General features: G+C 46.7%; 1 protein-coding gene across 7 annotated transcripts in view; it reads left to right on the top strand.

Annotated features, from left to right (window-relative positions):
- The window catches only part of DIP2C (disco interacting protein 2 homolog C), a 415,468-nt gene that overhangs the window by 231,982 nt on the left and 166,380 nt on the right, over positions 1 to 17,106 (top strand). For all 7 annotated transcript variants that reach the window (NM_014974.3, XM_005252427.5, XM_005252426.4 and 4 more), the window contains one exon: positions 16,691 to 16,816. In NM_014974.3, the coding sequence (NP_055789.1) occupies positions 16,691 to 16,816 (126 nt within the window). The remainder of the gene's footprint in view (positions 1 to 16,690; positions 16,817 to 17,106) is intronic.

Here is a 17,106-nt window from a genome sequence, read left to right as displayed (position 1 = left end):
CTACCCAGGGGGCTGAGGTGGAAGGATCACTTCAACCTAGGAGCTGGAGGCTGCAGTGAGCTGTTGTCACATCACTGCACCCCACTCTGGGTGACAGAGTGAGACCCTGCCTCTAAAAAGAAAAAAAAGAATTTAATCTTGCTATCTGTGCCTCGTCATTTCTAAAGAGGGAATTTTGGACATATCAATGTAGCAGAAATATATAGGATAGATTGGTTTCATTGGATTGGGTTCCTGACTGAAGGCAGAAACAGGTTAGGGGGCTGTTGTATTTCAGGTGAAAAATGATGAATCAAAATTTGTGAGATGCTGTGGAAATGGTACTTGAATTTATAGACTAAAATCTTTATATTAAGTCAGAAGACATCTTGGAAACTGAAGAAATAAGCATTTATCTTAACATGTTAGAAAAAATTAAGTCCACAGAAGGGAGAAGTGAGACAATAATAAAAAGAATAAAATAAAATAGGAGATGCATAGACTTGTAGCTTCCAGTCCAGCACCTAAGGAGCTTGGAAGTCATCACGCTTGTCCTCTTGAGCAAAAAGCTGTACAAACCGAAAATAAGCAACTCCTCCTAGATCTGTCAAAGAATTGAGATTATAACCTCAAACCATTGTGCCGTAATTGGAGGTGGATATGTGAGCAGAGAGATGGAAAATCTAGGAATCAAAAGGCAATGCTAGAAATAAACACTGTAAGAGAAATGAAGTATGTTTTTGCTGGGCCCATCAATAGCCTGGACATGGCAGGTCAGAGAATCCAGTCCACATGAAGAAAAGACTTAGAGAAGGAATGAGTGAGGATAAAATAAAATCTTCTTGCCTTCACTCTGTCTTGACCATTTTGCACAACTCTCCACACCTCTGCTTTTGTGTGCAGTTTACCAAAGAACGAAACGGTGGAACAAAAATCGTCGTGGAAGGGAACACAGATGGCCCTATGTAGTGGAGACAAAAGGGAGGGAACACAGATGGCCCTGTGTAGTGGAGACAAACGGTGGCCGTGGACAGGTGGAATTCCATGCAGCCTGTCTCGTCTGGCCTCTTGCACAGTTTTGGCTTCTCCCAGGCTTGGCTTTCTTCTCTGTCCTCTTTCCAGACTTGGGTCACACTAACCAGGAGGAGCATCTTAAGCTCTTGCACTTGCAGAGTGTTTTAATCACCAGGAGGCAGCTCCGCTGTGAGTGCTTTGATTCAGTCACTCATTTACTCCTCACAGTCTCCCCTCAGGCAGGGACTCACTGCAGAGTGTTTTCATCTCATTTACTCCTCACAGCCTCCCCTCAGGCAGGGACTCACTGCAGAGTGTTCTCATCTCATTTACTCCTCACGGCCTCCCCTCAGGCAGGGACTCACTGCAGAGTGTTTTCATCTCATTTACTCCTCATGGCCTCCCCTCAGGCAGGGACTCACTGCAGAGTGTTTTCATCTCATTTACTCCTCACGGCCTCCCCTCAGGCAGGGACTCACTGCAGAGTGTTTTCATCTCATTTACTCCTCACAGTCTCCCCTCAGGCAGGGACTCACTGCAGAGTGTTTTCATCTCATTTACTCCTCACGGCCTCCCCTCAGGCAGGGACTCACTGCAGAGTGTTTTCATCTCATTTATTCCTCACAGTCTCCCCTCAGGCAGGGACTCACTGCAGAGTGTTTTCATCTCATTTATTCCTCACAGTCTCCCCTCAGGCAGGGACTCACTGCAGAGTGTTTTCATCTCATTTGCTCCTCACGGCCTCCCCTCAGGCAGGGACTCACTGCAGAGTGTTTTCATCTCATTTACTCCTCACGGCCTCCCCTCAGGCAGGGACTCACTGCAGAGTGTTTTCATCTCATTTACTCCTCACGGCCTCCCCTCAGGCAGGGACTCACTGCAGAGTGTTTTCATCTCATTTACTCCTCACGGCCTCCCCTCAGGCAGGGACTCACTGCAGAGTGTTTTCATCTCATTTATTCCTCACGGTCTCCCCTCAGGCAGGGACTCACTGCAGAGTGTTTTCATCTCATTTATTCCTCACGGTCTCCCCTCAGGCAGGGACTCACTGCAGAGTGTTTTCATCTCATTTGCTCCTCACGGCCTCCCCTCAGGCAGGGACTCACTGCAGAGTGTTTTCATCTCATTTGCTCCTCACGGCCTCCCCTCAGGCAGGGACTCACTGCAGAGTGTTTTCATCTCATTTGCTCCTCACGGTCTCCCCTCAGGCAGGGACTCACTGCAGAGTGTTTTCATCTCATTTACTCCTCACGGTCTCCCCTCAGGCAGGGACTCACTGCAGAGTGTTTTCATCTCATTTACTCCTCACGGTCTCCCCTCAGGCAGGGACTCACTGCAGTGTTTTCATCTCATTTATTCCTCACGGTCTCCCCTCAGGCAGGGACTCACTGCAGAGTGTTTTCATCTCATTTACTCCTCATGGGCCACTCCTCAGGCAGGGACTCACTGTTCCTGATTTGCACCCAGGGAAATGGGGGTGCAAATAGGTTAAGCAACTTGCCCAAGGTCACAGAGGAGCTGGGGTTTGAACCGGTGCGGCCTGGCTCCCGAACCTACGTCTTCCTGCTCTGCTGCTGTGAAGCCACGTATCTACCTTGGAGGAACATTCTCTTCTGTTGACTCATGGTTGTCTTTGCCATTGGACAGCAGCCCCAGGCTGTGTGTGTGCTCACTGTGTAATGCTGTGAGCTTGGTGCAAATGGCAGGAGCTCTAGGAAATGGATTGTGATTTATGACTTCAAAAGATGGAAGTGAAGGGTATGGGTTTTTCTAAAGATTTAAAGCTGTGGATATACATAGTAATCTAGAATACTAGTAACAGCAATAATGACTTCAAGCATAAAGGGCGCATTTGTATACTACCTCTTTCTCTGAGGGTTCCAGGGGTGCTCATGTTTTTATCCCCCGAATATCTCATTGCAATAATGACATCGAGCATAGAGGGTGCGTTTGTATACTACCTCTTTCTCTGAGGGGTGCTGATGTTTTTATCCCTGAGTATCTCATTGCAATAATGACATCAAGCATAGATGGTGCATTTGTATACTACCTCTTTCTCTGAGGGGTTCGAAGGGTGCTGATGTTTTTATCCCCGAATATCTCATTGCAATAATGACATCAAGCATAGATGGTGCATTTGTATACTACCTCTTTCTCTGAGGGGTTTGATAGGTGCTGATGCTTTTATCCCTGAATATCTCATTGCAATAATGACATCAAGCATACAGGGTGCATTTGTATACTACCTCTTTCTCTGAGGGGTTTGAGGGGTGCTGACATTTTTATCCCCTTTTTAGTACTTTATCCCTTTTTAGTATTTTTAGTATTTTATCCCTTTTTAGTACTTTAAGAAACGCTGTTAAATGTATTTTAGTTAACCAATTTATCTAACACTATAAATGTAAGTAGTACCAACAAACTCTTCACTAGCAATAGTGATTTATTCAATGCTGCATGAAGCTGATCCTGAATAAGCCCTTCTCTTAATAGATGGGTGCTTCTGGGTTCTTAGAGTGAAAGGCCTAAAGGGAATGAACTGTTAGCAGCCACAGCAGAAAAAACGAGAAAGATCTGCCTCTTTTGGAGTCACCAAATGCACCTCTATCAATTTATTGCCTCTCAGCTCCAAATTCACCCTTTATTGCCTTCTTCAGAAACCATGGATCTGAGTCCTGCAAATTCTGTTGAGTTGTGTTTGTGAAGTGTGACAGAGGCATGTGAGGACAGTGGTTTCACTTCTTAGTCTCAGGGCTGTGCACAGAGGCTCTAGCAGGTCCTGCTGCTGCTGGGGTCTCTGGCCTCTGTGTTGCATGGCAGCCAGCAGCTCACCCCCAGCTCCGACAGCTTTGTAGGAGCTTCTCCAGCAATATCCCTCCCTGCCTGAGATGGCTGCAGGCAGCGTGGTCTCCTTGGAGCCCCTGTGCTGTGTTTGCCCTGACAGCCCTGAGTCCAGCTGTACCTGTTACATTCCCTCATTCCTTTCTCATTCAGTATTTATGCATCTGCTTCTTTTCTCTTTGCTTTGATAACACGTTAATGCTGCTTTAGGATCCCAAACTAGAATCATCTTCCATTTACGTGAAATTTTAAGCCGTCACTTCCTAGCCTCTCCCTAAGTGGAAGTATCCTTGACCACTTTCAGTGCTCTTCCTCAAAGATACTTAAAAATACTAGACAATCACTGCCCTCTGTCCTGACTGCTGAGCCTCCAGATTATTTTCTCCTATCGTTTTAAGCATTTGTATTTCAGGCATTTGCTGGAGTCTTTGACACTGTATGTCCAGCATGACCAGCAAATCTTGTTACTCTCGTGATGTTTGCACACATGTCTGTTGACTCCGCTGCAATCCTGCCTGGTACCTTCACCCGAGAGATTTCTGTTTCTCATTGTTTCCATTCCACGGCCTCTCATCTGGTGTCTCATTCATGTGGCCGGGTAAAACTGTATTCAGGGCATTTGTAATTAAGGCTTTGGAGGACGCTTGATCAGATGCTGTAATGGATTTCTGATGCTGCACAGCTGCTAGATTTCATTTATCAGCTCATTTTATGAAAAGGATATTGTGTTTTCAAGGGAATATTTGTTTTGTAGCAACCTGTTTACCCATGTTATATTTTCCTAAAAGTTCTTCATCTTATGAGCTCTTCTCACAGTGATCTGGGTTTTATGCAGAGCTCTGTAAACGTCTTTGTTCTCAGCTCATACCCTTTCCAGCACTGTGTGTTAATCCAACACTGCCCCCTTCCTCGCACTGGGGCCTCAGACTGGCCAGGCCTCCCGGTGATCCGCTGGCGTTGGCTCTCAAGGGAGATGGGTCCATCCTGCCCCGTGCCCTGTGGTCAAGTCTATCCCTCTTCTCTCGCCTCACCTGTGGGATTTGGGCCACTGGCCAGTGGACATGCGGCCTTTTAAGCTGGATGTCATAAGAGACCTCCTCAGTAGCGGTGTGTGGTGTTTTCTCTGCAGGAGGGCACCAGCAGAGCCACCCGGCTGTGCTGAGGACCCAGGAGGAGCAGCGAGAGGAACCAGGGGGCCATCGTGGCTTGGTTGCTTCGCTTCCCTCTAGGTGTCACGTTGTGAAAGGTCTTTCGACAAAGCGCTGTCCATTTAATCGCTATTGTAGATGTTAGTGGCCGGATGCTCCTTTCTGGCTTGGATATTTTGAGTTGGACTGGGATTATTAAACACAGCAACAACTTAGCACATGGAGGTAGATTCTGACTCACTTTAGTCACTCATAATTACACTGCGTGCTTCAGAAGCTGCTCTTCACCCCTGGGCAGGTTGTCCTTTTTCCACGTGTTTGCCGTGTTTTGATGATGGGGTTAGTGCGCGCTCTAAGGGTCTGCACTGAGAAGACCCCTTAGCGCTATCCCGTTATCATTATTTGCCTTAACATTGTTCCATGTAGAGTCTGACGGAATCTTCAGGGTGCTGTTTATGGATGTTTTGAAGTGTCACTGTGCCACTGATTTCCGGTTAAAGCAGAATGTAGACATCTTTTTGCAATTGTTTTTAGTGACTCCACTGGTTTGTGTTGCTGTCTTCTGCTGTGCAGTCCACAGTCTGACATCTTTGTGGTCCCCATGCTTCCCTCCTGCTCGTGTTACCCGATCCTGTGGGTCAGCTGTGAGGAAACCACTCTCTGTCCTCGTCTGGAGTCGCCCCGAGCTGGGTGTGCTGGTCTCCTTGTGTCGCCCTGAGCTGGGTGTGCTGGTCTCCTTGTGGGCAGAAGTATTCTTCTGTTACTGTTTTCTCAGTTTTTTGACCAAATGTAGCAGACTTGTGTATGGTGCAAACATTTCTTAAAATGTCTTTTGCCTTTATGGAAAAAAACCCGCATTTCTTCAAGATGTACCTTTCCTGTGTCTCCATCCTTCCCCACATGATTGCTTTGTGTTAGAGGGTGGTGTGTGTGCTCTATGGCCTCATTCCATCAAGCACTATATGTAACCTCTGATGGCAAAAGTGGTTACACTCAAGGCAGAAAACTTCGCAAATGTTGAAGAGAATGAACAAAAAACAATACGTTGTCATCTTGTCATCCTGAAATGGCTACTGTTAATATTTTGATGTAGTTCTTTCAATTCTTTTTAAGTAAAATTGCTTCTAACACAAGCACTTTAATTACATTGATTAAATTATAGTCAGGAAATAAGGAGAAAGTAAAAAGAATATCCAGTTTGGGGCAAAAAGAAAGACCACATAGAAAGAGGCTGTAAAACTCCCTACAACTTGAAGAAAAGCTGGGTTGCGGTGGTTGTGGTTTTGTTTTTACTGCGAGAGACCACATGATTATTCTGGGCACTGAAGGGCGATAGGATAATACCCTGTGAGTGTTTTGGTGGCCGAGTAAATCCCAGTCCCACGTCCTCTTTCCAAGTAGACAAAGTGTTGAGGTTTGAGGTGGTGGTTTGGTAACTTTTTGAAAATCTGTTTGTAGGACTGCACTGCAGAGATTAGGTTAACCTGACTTAGAATCGAATGATCTGTTCAGGCTGTGGGAGCTTTCTATACCAGGTGTACGTACGCCTGTTCCGGATGTGGTGTAGAAGGAACAGGGCTGGGAGGGTTTGTTGCTTCACCAGTCACCGCCCACAGGCAGGGGCTGGGGAGCACAGCCCGGTGCTGCAGAGATGGGCTTTGAGACTCCCTCCCTGGCCCTGAGGAACTCACAGGCTGAATTTAGACGATGCCGTTATTGAGGCATAGACAGTATATTTTATACCCACACATATGGACATATACATACATGTACGCACATACAGACCTGTACATGTCTGTGTGTGTGTAAGTGACAGAACCAACCTGGCTTTTGTGCTATTTCCTTCGTCTTTTTAGTTGCCTCAGTTGAAACAAGATGTGTTCCTTGTTGGAGGTGAGTGGTTTCATTGTTCCAGACCAGTCATGGAAATGCCTGCAATTATCAGTGTTTCTGTTTTCTCTTGGGAAGCTCTTCTGGGAAGGAAGTGTACTTTCCAAGGCTGTTGGTTGGCCTGTCGTCACCCTGGGGGTCTTGGTGTGGGTCACAGACCCAGGTGCTGTGGCTGCTCATGCGTGGAGCTCTGTCTCTCTTGCTGCTGCTAGTAGACAGCTGATCACCAACAAAGTGTGTGTCCCAGTGGCCTTTCAGAAGAATTCTCTGCATCATTTTTATACAGTCTTTTTTATTTTCAATGTCAACATTGTGTGTTGCAGCCAAGTGATATGTTCTGCAGAAGCAGGAAGTGTGGCCCAAGAGAGAAATAAGGGAATTGATCCATAACTGATACCAGCTTTTATACAGTTGAGCCATTGTAATTGATACGTAAACATCTTAAATCTGTAGAAGTGAGTCAAGGTGCCAGATCCTGACAAGTGCCAAATGTCTACGTGGGACCTCTCTTGTGTCGGGTCCACATCACAAGAAGAAAAGTCATTCAAATGCAACACGGGACCATTGTAATTTATACATAAACATGTTAAATCTGTGGAAGTGAGCCACGGTGCCAGACCCTGACAAATGCCGAATGTCTACGTGGGACCTCTCTTGTGTCGGGTCCACATCACAAGGAGAAAAGTCATTCAAATGCAACATGGAGTGGACGTGAAGCTTTCAGAAACGTCCGTGAATCAGAGCGACTGTTTTCCCATTTGCTGGATTCCCCATTCGAGATGGTGAGATTCCTGTTCCAAGGCTCCCTCAATTTCCCAGCACCCATTTCACTCCTTCCTGGAGATAACAATCTCACAATGATATCTTGTTCTCAGATTTTCTTTTTTTTTTTTTTTTGTTGTTGTTGACTGAAACATCTTTATTTGGCACATGACTGTAGTTGTGTGTGTGTATGTGTTTTTATTAATAGTTTATTAATATTTTCTTCATGGAATTAGGTAACTGAATGTGTTTACTTCTTTTTTTTTTTTTTTTAATTATACTTTAAGTTTTAGGGTACATGTGCACATTGTGCAGGTTAGTTACATATGTATACATGTGCCATGCTGGTGCGCTGCACCCACCAACGTGTCATCTATCATTAGGTATATCTCCCACTGCTATCCCTCCCCCCTCCCCCGACCCCACCACAGTCCCCAGAGTGTGATATTCCCCTTCCTGTAGAAAAATCACATATTTCACAAGAATAGGCTGCCTTACTCACTCCTTAGCCTGGAGTAAGCCACATACCACTTTTCTCTTTAAGATACTCACTTTTCAGGACTCTTGATAAATTATTTAAGAGTAGGAAAGTACCGTGACTTTGGCCACAAGCAGTATTATGTATAATATGCAAGTGTGTGCCTTGATAGCCGCAGTCACTAAAAACAAATTTTCTCAGAAGAGAAAATTGTAAGCATTTCTTTACTTGATCGTTAATTTTGTTTGCCTAAATAACATCTTGCCTTTGTATGGGGAGGTGGAGAAGTCGACTTTTGTTACACAAGATGAGCTTGAAAGTCCCTTAAGTGGTAAAGGATGCCGCTGAGTATCGACGGGGGTGAGTGGGTCTTGCTGCCCCACTGTATGTGATCCTGAGTATTGACAGGGGTGAGTGGGTCCTGCTGCCCCAGTGTATATGATCCTGAGTATCAACAGGGATGAGTGGGTCCTGCTGCCGCACTGTGTGTGATCCTGAGTATCGACGGGAGTGAGCAGGTCCTGCTGCCCCACTGTGTGTGATCCTGAGTATAGATGAGGATGAGTGGGTCCTTCTGCCCCACTGTGTGTGATCCTGAGTATCGACGGGAGTGAGCAGGTCCTGCTGCCCCACTGTGTGTGATCCTGAGTATAGATGAGGATGAGTGGGTCCTTCTGCCCCACTGTGTGTGATCCTGAGTATCGACGGGAGTGAGCAGGTCCTGCTGCCCCACTGTGTGTGATCCTGAGTATAGATGAGGATGAGTGGGTCCTGCTGCCCCACTGTGTGTGATCCTGAGTATCGACAGGGGTGAGTGGGTCCTGCTGCCCCACTGTGTGTGATCATGAGTATTGATGGGAGTGAGCGGGTCCTGCTGCCCCACTGTGTGTGATCCTGAATATCGACAGGGGTGAGTGGGTCCTGCTTGCCCCACTGTGTGTGATCCTGAGTATCGACGGGAGTGAGTGGGTCCTGCTTGCCCCACTGTGTGTGATCCTGAGTATCAACGGGAGTGAGCGGGTCCTGCTGCCCCACTGTGTGTGATCCTGAGTATCAACGGGAGTGAGCGGGTCCTGCTGCCCCACTGTGTGTGATCCTGAGTATAGACGGGGATGAGTGGGTCCTGCTGCCCCACTGTGAGTGATCCTGATTATCGACAGGGGTGAGTGGGTCCTGCTGCCCCACTGCGTGTGATCCTGAGTATCGACGGGAGTGAGTGGGTCCTGCTGCCCCACTGTGTGTGATCCTGAATATCAATGGGGTGAGTGGGTCCTGCTGACCCACTGTGTGTGATCCTGAGTATAGACAGGGATGAGTGGGTCCTGCTGCCCCACTGTGTGTGATCCTGATTATTGACGGGAATGAGTGGGTCCTGCTGCCGCACTGTGTGTGATCCTGAGTATCGACGGGAGTGAGCGGGTCCTGCTGCCCCACTGTGTGTGATCCTGAGTATAGATGGGGATGAGTGGGTCCTGCTGCCCCACTGTGTGTGATCCTGAGTATAGACGGGGATGAGTGGGTCCTGCTGCCCTACTGTGTGTGATCCTGAGCATCAGTGGGAGTGAGCGGGTCCTGCTGCCCCACTGTGTGTGATCCTGAATATCAACGGGGGTGATTGGGTCCTGCTGCCCCACTGTGTGTGATCCTGAGTATAGACAGGGATGAGTGGGTCCTGCTGCCCCACTGTGTGTGATCCTGATTATTAATGGGAATGAGTGGGTCCTGCTGCCGCACTGTGTGTGATCCTGAGTATCGACGGGAGTGAGCGGGTCCTGCTGCCCCACTGTGTGTGATCCTGAGTATAGACGGGGATGAGTGGGTCCTGCTGCCCTACTGTGTGTGATCCTGAGCATCAGTGGGAGTGAGCGGGTCCTGCTGCCCCACTGTGTGTGATCCTGAATATCAATGGGGGTGATTGGGTCCTGCTGCCCCACTGTGTGTGATCCTGAGTATAGACAGGGATGAGTGGGTCCTGCTGCCCCACTGTGTGTGATCCTGATTATCGACGGGTGAGTGGGTCCTGCTGCCCCACTGCATGTGATCCTGAGTATTGATGGGAGTGAGCGGGTCCTGCTGCCCCACTGTGTGTGATCCTGAGTATCGATGGGAGTGAGCGGGTCCTGCTGCCCCACTGTGTGTGATCCTGAGTATAGATGGGGATGAGTGGGTCCTGCTGCCCCACTGTGTGTGATCCTGAGTATCGACAGGGGTGAGTGGGTCCTGCTGCCCCACTGTGTGTGATCCTGAATATCGACAGGGGTGAGTGGGTCCTGCTGCCCCACTGTGTGTGATCCTGAATATCGACGGGGGTGATTGGGTCCTACTGCCCCACTGTGTGTGATCCTGAGTATAGATGGGGATGAGTGGGTCCTGCTGCTCCACTGTGTGTGATCCTGAGTATCGACAGGGGTGAGTGGGTCCTGCTGCCCCACTGTGTGTGACAAGCCCTTTGTTTCTGGCCTGGGAATGTCCCAGCTCTGTCAGCATGTTGGGCTGGTGCTGGCTCCCTTGTTAGTTTGCATGCGAGACAAAAATCTCACACTTTTCACTCTTCTTGACATATAGATGCCGAAGCTTTTTACAAATTATTACTACATCAAACCCAAAATATGTAAAAGGGATATGAATATCACAACCAGTTGAGTTTGTTCTCTTGATGTGGTGTAGTTTTGCCTGGCACACTTGGCTCATCATTCAAAAATCAATGTAATTCACTACATTGACAAAAAATAAAGGAGAAAACCCATTTTATCATCTCAGAAGATGCTGAAAAACATCTGTTGAAATTTAATAGTCGTTATACGAATTTCCTGTCACATCAGGAACAGAAGGGATCTTTCTCTGTTTGATAAGGGCCCTTCCTGAAAAATGAGAGCTGATGCCCCTCCTCCATGGTGGCAGCCGGGGCGCTCTGCCCACAGTTGGGTGTCAGGGGATCATGGCCATTCTCCGTGGTTCAGGTCTGCATGGCACTCACTGGGGCCCTCGTCAATGAAGTGAGTCAGGAGAACTAAAAGGCACAGACTTGGAAGGCATGAGACACTTGATTTACCGAAGACACAGGGCCTTATTTAGAAAATTTTAGGAAATCTAGAAGCAACCAGAAATGGTGTGAATTTTGCAAGCATGCAAGATACACTCTTCACAACAGATGTATACAGATGCCCAGTGGACCATGGGACTCTTCACAACAGAGGTATACAGATGCCCAGTGGACCATGAGACTCTTCACAACAGTTGTATACCGATGTCCAGTGGAAGATAGACTCTTCGCAACAGATGTATATAGATGCCCAGTGGACCGTGAGACTCTTCATGACAGGTGTATACAGATGCCCAGTGGACTGTGAGACTTTTCACAACAGATGTATACAGATGCCCAGTGCAAGATAGACTCTTTGCAACAGATGTATATAGATGCCTAGTGAACGGTGAGACTCTTCACAACAGATGTATACAGTTGCCCAGTGGACCATGAGACTCTTTGCAACAGACGTATACAGATGCCCAGTGGGCCTGTGAGACTCTTCACAACAGATGTATACAGATGTCCAGTGCAAGATAGACTCTTCACGACTGATGTATACAGATGCCCAGTGGACCGTGAGACTCTTCACAACAGATGTATACAGACGCCCAGTGGGCCTGTGAGACTTCACAACAGATGTATACAGATGGCCAGTGCAAGATAGACTCTTCTCAATAGATGTATACAGATGGCCAGTGCAAGATAGACTCTTCACAGCAGATGTATACAGATGCCCAGTGGACCGTGAGACTCTTCACAACAGATGTATAGAGATGCCCAGTGGTCCTGTGAGACTCTTCACAACAGGTGTATACAGATGCTCAGTGGACTGTGAGACTCTTCACAACAGATGTATACAGATGTCCAGTGCAAGATGGACTCTTCACAACAGATGTATACAGATGCCCAGTGCAAGATAGACTCTTCGCAACAGTTGTATACAGATGCCCAGTAGACCATGAGACTCTTCACAACAGATGTATACAGATGCCCAGTGGACTGTGAGACTCTTCGCAACAGATGTATACAGATGCCCAGTGCAAGATAGACTCTTCACAACAGTTGTATACAGATGTCCAGTGGGCCTGTGAGACTCTTCACAACAGATATATACAGATGTCCAGTGCAAGATATACTCTTTGCAACCAATATATACAGATGCCCAGTGGGCCTGTGAGACTCTTCACAACAGATGTATACAGATGTCCAGTGCAAGACAGACTCTTCACAACAGATGTATACAGATGTCCAGTGCAAGATAGACTCTTCACAACAGTTGTATACAGATGCCCCATGGGCCATGAGACTCTTCACAACAGTTGTATACAGATGCCCAGTGCAAGATAGACTCTTCACAACAGATGTATACAGATGCCCAGTGGTCCCATGAAAGGCGCTCACCAGGGGTCATTTGGTAAGTACAACTTAAACCCATGAGGTTCCACTTCACAAGAGTGGAGGAGGAGGATGGTAGCAGGTGCTAGTGAAGATATGACAGGCTGGATCTCAGACTGATGGAGACTTAAAACGGCACGGCCACTTTAGCAAACAGTGTGGCAGTTTCTTTAAAATGTGTACATTTACCATATGGCCCAGCAGGTATGCTGTAGATGTTCACCAAGGAGAGATGAAAATGTGTGTCCGTGTAAAAGAATGCACATTATCTCCAGAGTAAATTCTCATAGCCAAAAACTGGAAACAACGTAAATCTCTCTCAGCTGGAGAAACATGAGCAAATTATGATATATTCATACATTGTCCTAGTTCCCATCAGGAAAAATGTACAAAATACTGAAACCAAAATAGGCAACGGCGATGAGTTCCAGGAGCCTTGAATTGAGCAGAGAGTGAACACCATGCTGTGGAGTCCATGTGACGGTGGAGAATCTACACGAGTGTCAGGTGACGGAATAGCGCCAAGGAACACTCCTCATGAATGAACAGTGGCTGTCTCTGGAGTGAACACCATGCTGTGGGCTCCATGTGACGGTGGAGAATCTACACAAGTCTCGGGTGACGGAAGAGCACCAAGAAACACTCCTCATGAATGAACAGTGGCTGTCTCTTGAGTGAACACCATGGCGTGGGCTCCATGTGATGATGGAGAATCTACATGAGTCTCGGATGATGGAAGAGCGCCAAGGAACACTCCTCATGAATGAACAGTGGCTGTCTCTTGAGTGAACACTATGCCGTGGGCTCCATGTGACGGTGGAGAATCTACACGAGTCTCGGGTGACGGAACAGTGCCAAGGAACACTCCTCATGAATGAACGGTGGCTGTCTCTTGAGGGAACACCATGGCGTGGAGTCCATGCAATGGTAGAGAATCTACACGAGTCTCGGGTGATGGAAGAGCGCCAAGGAACACTCCTCATGAATGAACAGTGGCTGTCTCTTGAGGGAACACCATGGCGTGGAGTCCATGTGACGATGGGGAATCTACACGAGTCTCAGGTGACGGAAGAGCACCAGTGAACACGCCTCATGAATGAACAGTGGCTGTCTCACGAGGGCCAGGATTGACCGGGAGGGGATGTGTGGGAACTTTGAGGCAAAAGATTTGATCAGGGTAATAGGTAGATTTCCACTTATCAAAGTGCACCAAGTGTACTTAAGATCTGAACATTTCACTGTGTATACTTTGTACTCCCGCCCTTCCAAAAGAAAACAATGAAAAAATAATTGTAAATGAACACTGAACTCTATTTGATAGATTTTTCACAGTGGTACTAGATAGCAATTCTGAAAGCATTTCTGTATCTCCAGGCTTAAGCAAATAAGCTTAATAAATTAGTGAATATATTGAGGGTAACAGGAGCCAGGTTTCTTTTTTGGCAAGAGAGGTAGAAATAAGAAAAGGCCAAAGCCTGGAATGGATCATGTGGGATTGGGTTGCAGCAGGAGGTACCAGTATGAGCTGGTGGCTCCCGACAGATGTAGACAGGGACAGAAGTGCCTGTGGATGGGTGTGGGTGTACATGTGTGTACACACATGTTGTGTGTTCTGCTTGCTGGCAGTGCCCAGCAGCAGAGACCCCCAGTGACAGCACACCCGGTTCCTAGTCTTAGCTTCCAAACACCATACTTCACTAGCAGGAGCCCTGGTCCAAGGGCTGGGGAATCCGGTGTCAAATCTGGAACCAATTGAGCACCAAAACAAACCATTATAATTATGAATTATGACCCACCAAGCCAGACTCCATGAGTTCATATTGACAGAAGTAAATGAGTGATGAAAGATAAAATGAGTAAATATTTTTAAGTGAATGTAGAAGATCTAATGATTTAGAAGGAATGGCAGGAAATCATCAGTGGATGCTAAAACTAGTAGTGAAGGATCGATGAAAAACAGAATATGTACATAGTGTCACAGTCTCTCCTCCCAAATCTTAATTGCAATGTGAGTAGTAGCATCTTTGCTTTGGAGGAACTTAAGCACCACCTTCACTGAGTTGCCGACATTAACATTGCCACACAGGACAGACTTCTGCGGTATCCCTGCTAAAATGCATACTCTTGAGTCTAGTCCGGAAGATACCAAAATAAAGGACAAGCTGTAAAATAACTAACCTGTATTCTTGAAAATTTCCAATTTCAAGAAACAAAAAAGCTGAGAAACTTGGATTCACGAAGGGTAAAAATCACTTGACAAATAAATGCAATTCATGATCCTGGATTGGATCATAAAATAGGAAGACAAAGTAAGAAAATTATGGAGACAGTTGACACCATTTGAATGTGAACTTTGTATATGACAGCTAAATTTCCTGATCTTGAGGAAAATGTATGTGAGAGAATATTCTTGTGTTTAGGAAATACATTGAAACATTTAGGTATAGAGGAATATAGTATCTGAAATTTATTTTCATTTGACTTAGAAAATTCATGGGGGAGCGGGGAGAGCAGTGGTGTAAGATAGGAGCAGTTGGTGAGCCTGGTAAAAGTTATATGGGAATTCTCTACACTGGTCTTGCAGATTTTCTGTGTATCTGAAATTATATCCAAAAAGTTTAAAATGGAGAATATGCAAAACAAAAAGTGATTTGTGGGAAGTGAGTGGACTGTGTCACCTCACTGATGAGCCCTTCAGTTTTTGGCCATGAGCCCAAGTCAGTCACATATTGATTTTTGACCTGGGAATTAGAAAGAGTGGCCAGAAAACCAGGCTCTTTATCTAGTTAGAGAGAGAAGTACGCACAAAGGCTGACCAAGACCAAGCAGTGTGATGAGCTGATTGTGGGCGTGATGCGGCGGGTCTGGGTCCTGTCTCAGGTGGCAGCTCGCGGGGTTTAAGCAGGAAAGACATGTCTGATTCCCTTTCAGTGGGATCATTCTCACAGCTTCAGAGAAGACTGCCTCGTCCTGGGGACCCTTTCCCCCAACCCGTCTTCACTCACACTGGCCATTTTGGTTGGTGGTGATTTTATTCTGCTAACACCGTTCTCACTCACAGTTTAGGGCCTTTGAGTGGGTTTTTGCCTGTGTCTCGAAGATTCTTGTCTTGAAGCCTGTTATTCTGATTTTGTGTTGAGAGGGTTCTTCCCTGGCTTCACAGTTTGGAGTTGCCACAGCGTCTGTCTCTGCTTTAATTCTCTACCCCGTCTGTCACCTGTCTTGTCCATTAGGAATTGGCCTGCGTGAGATGCTGTGACACTGTCTGCCTTATCACCACTGCGTTCCCAGCCCTTAGGGACTTACAGAGGAGGCACTTGGTGAATGTGTGGAATTAATGTAATGGATTCATAGCCACAAAGCGTGTTAATGGTTGTATTAGTCCATTTTCACATTGCTGATAAAGACATACCCAAGACTGGGAATAAAAAGGTTTAATTGGCCTTGCAGTTCCGCATGGCTGGGGAGGCCTCAGAATCATGGTGGGAGGCAAAAGGCACTTTTTACATGTCAGCAGCAAGAGAAAACGAGGTAGAAGCAAAAGCGGAAACCTCTAATAAACCATCAGATCTCATGAAACTTACTCACTATCACGATAATAGCACGGGAAAGATGGGCCCCAATGATTCAATTACCTCTTCCTGGGTCCCTCCCACAACACATGGGAATTCTGGGAGATATAATTCAAGTTGAGATTTGGGTGGGGACACAGCCAACCCATGTCAATAGCCAACACAGTCCTGGCCTGTGGCTGGTGCTCAGCTGAGCTGTGACCGTGGCTGTGAGTTGGGGTGCGAGGCATGCACAGCCTCTCAGCAGTACAGTGAAAGGATTTGGAGGCTCGAACGTGTGACCTACAAAGAGATCTCCAAAGATCAAGGTCCATTCACCCTAAAAAGACAAATCTCAGTGCAGTTTACAGCCAGTGTTTGCTTATGGATATGGATTCTGTGGTAATAAAATAAATGATTAAAAGTCTGTGAATGAATTTTAATGTCTTTACTGGAATTGTAAACACTGATTTTCTTTCCTCGCCCACCCATCTGTTGGTGAGTTTCAGAAGGTGGATGAACTGTGCTGCAGGGACAGAGAGGAGGGTGCAGCTTGGCCTCTGGGACCTCAGCTGAGCACTGAGTGACTGAGCTCTCTCCGTTTCAGACGTCCACACGGAAGCTGTCCAGGCGGCTCTGGCCAAACACAAAGAGCGGAAGATGGCAGTGCCTATGCCTTCCAAACGCAGGTCCCTGGTCGTGCAGACCTCGATGGACGCCTACACCCCTCCAGGTAAGGGACACGCTCCCCGACACGGCCTCCTGAATGTGCCGGGCACCTCAGAATTGACCTAGCCCAGCAATCAGGGGTTTTTGCTTTCAAAATAATGAAGCAGTAATGCAGATTTTGTGAACCAGAAGTCCAAAAACAGTGTTGTATGAGTTAAACGTGGAAGGAAAAGTAACATTATTATGTATCTGTATAAAAACACATTTTTAACTTTTCATCAAGACTCATACATATGATACATACCAGTAAAATCTCAAACAATTTTATTCATTTAATTCTTTGTAGGGGAAAGG

The sequence above is a fragment of the Homo sapiens genome, chromosome 10, assembly GCF_000001405.40.
Source record: "Homo sapiens chromosome 10, GRCh38.p14 Primary Assembly".
NCBI classification, from domain to species: domain Eukaryota; kingdom Metazoa; phylum Chordata; class Mammalia; order Primates; family Hominidae; genus Homo; species Homo sapiens.
The sequence above is the reverse complement of the archived record's forward strand: the minus strand, read 5'-3'. Positions and strand labels throughout refer to the sequence as shown.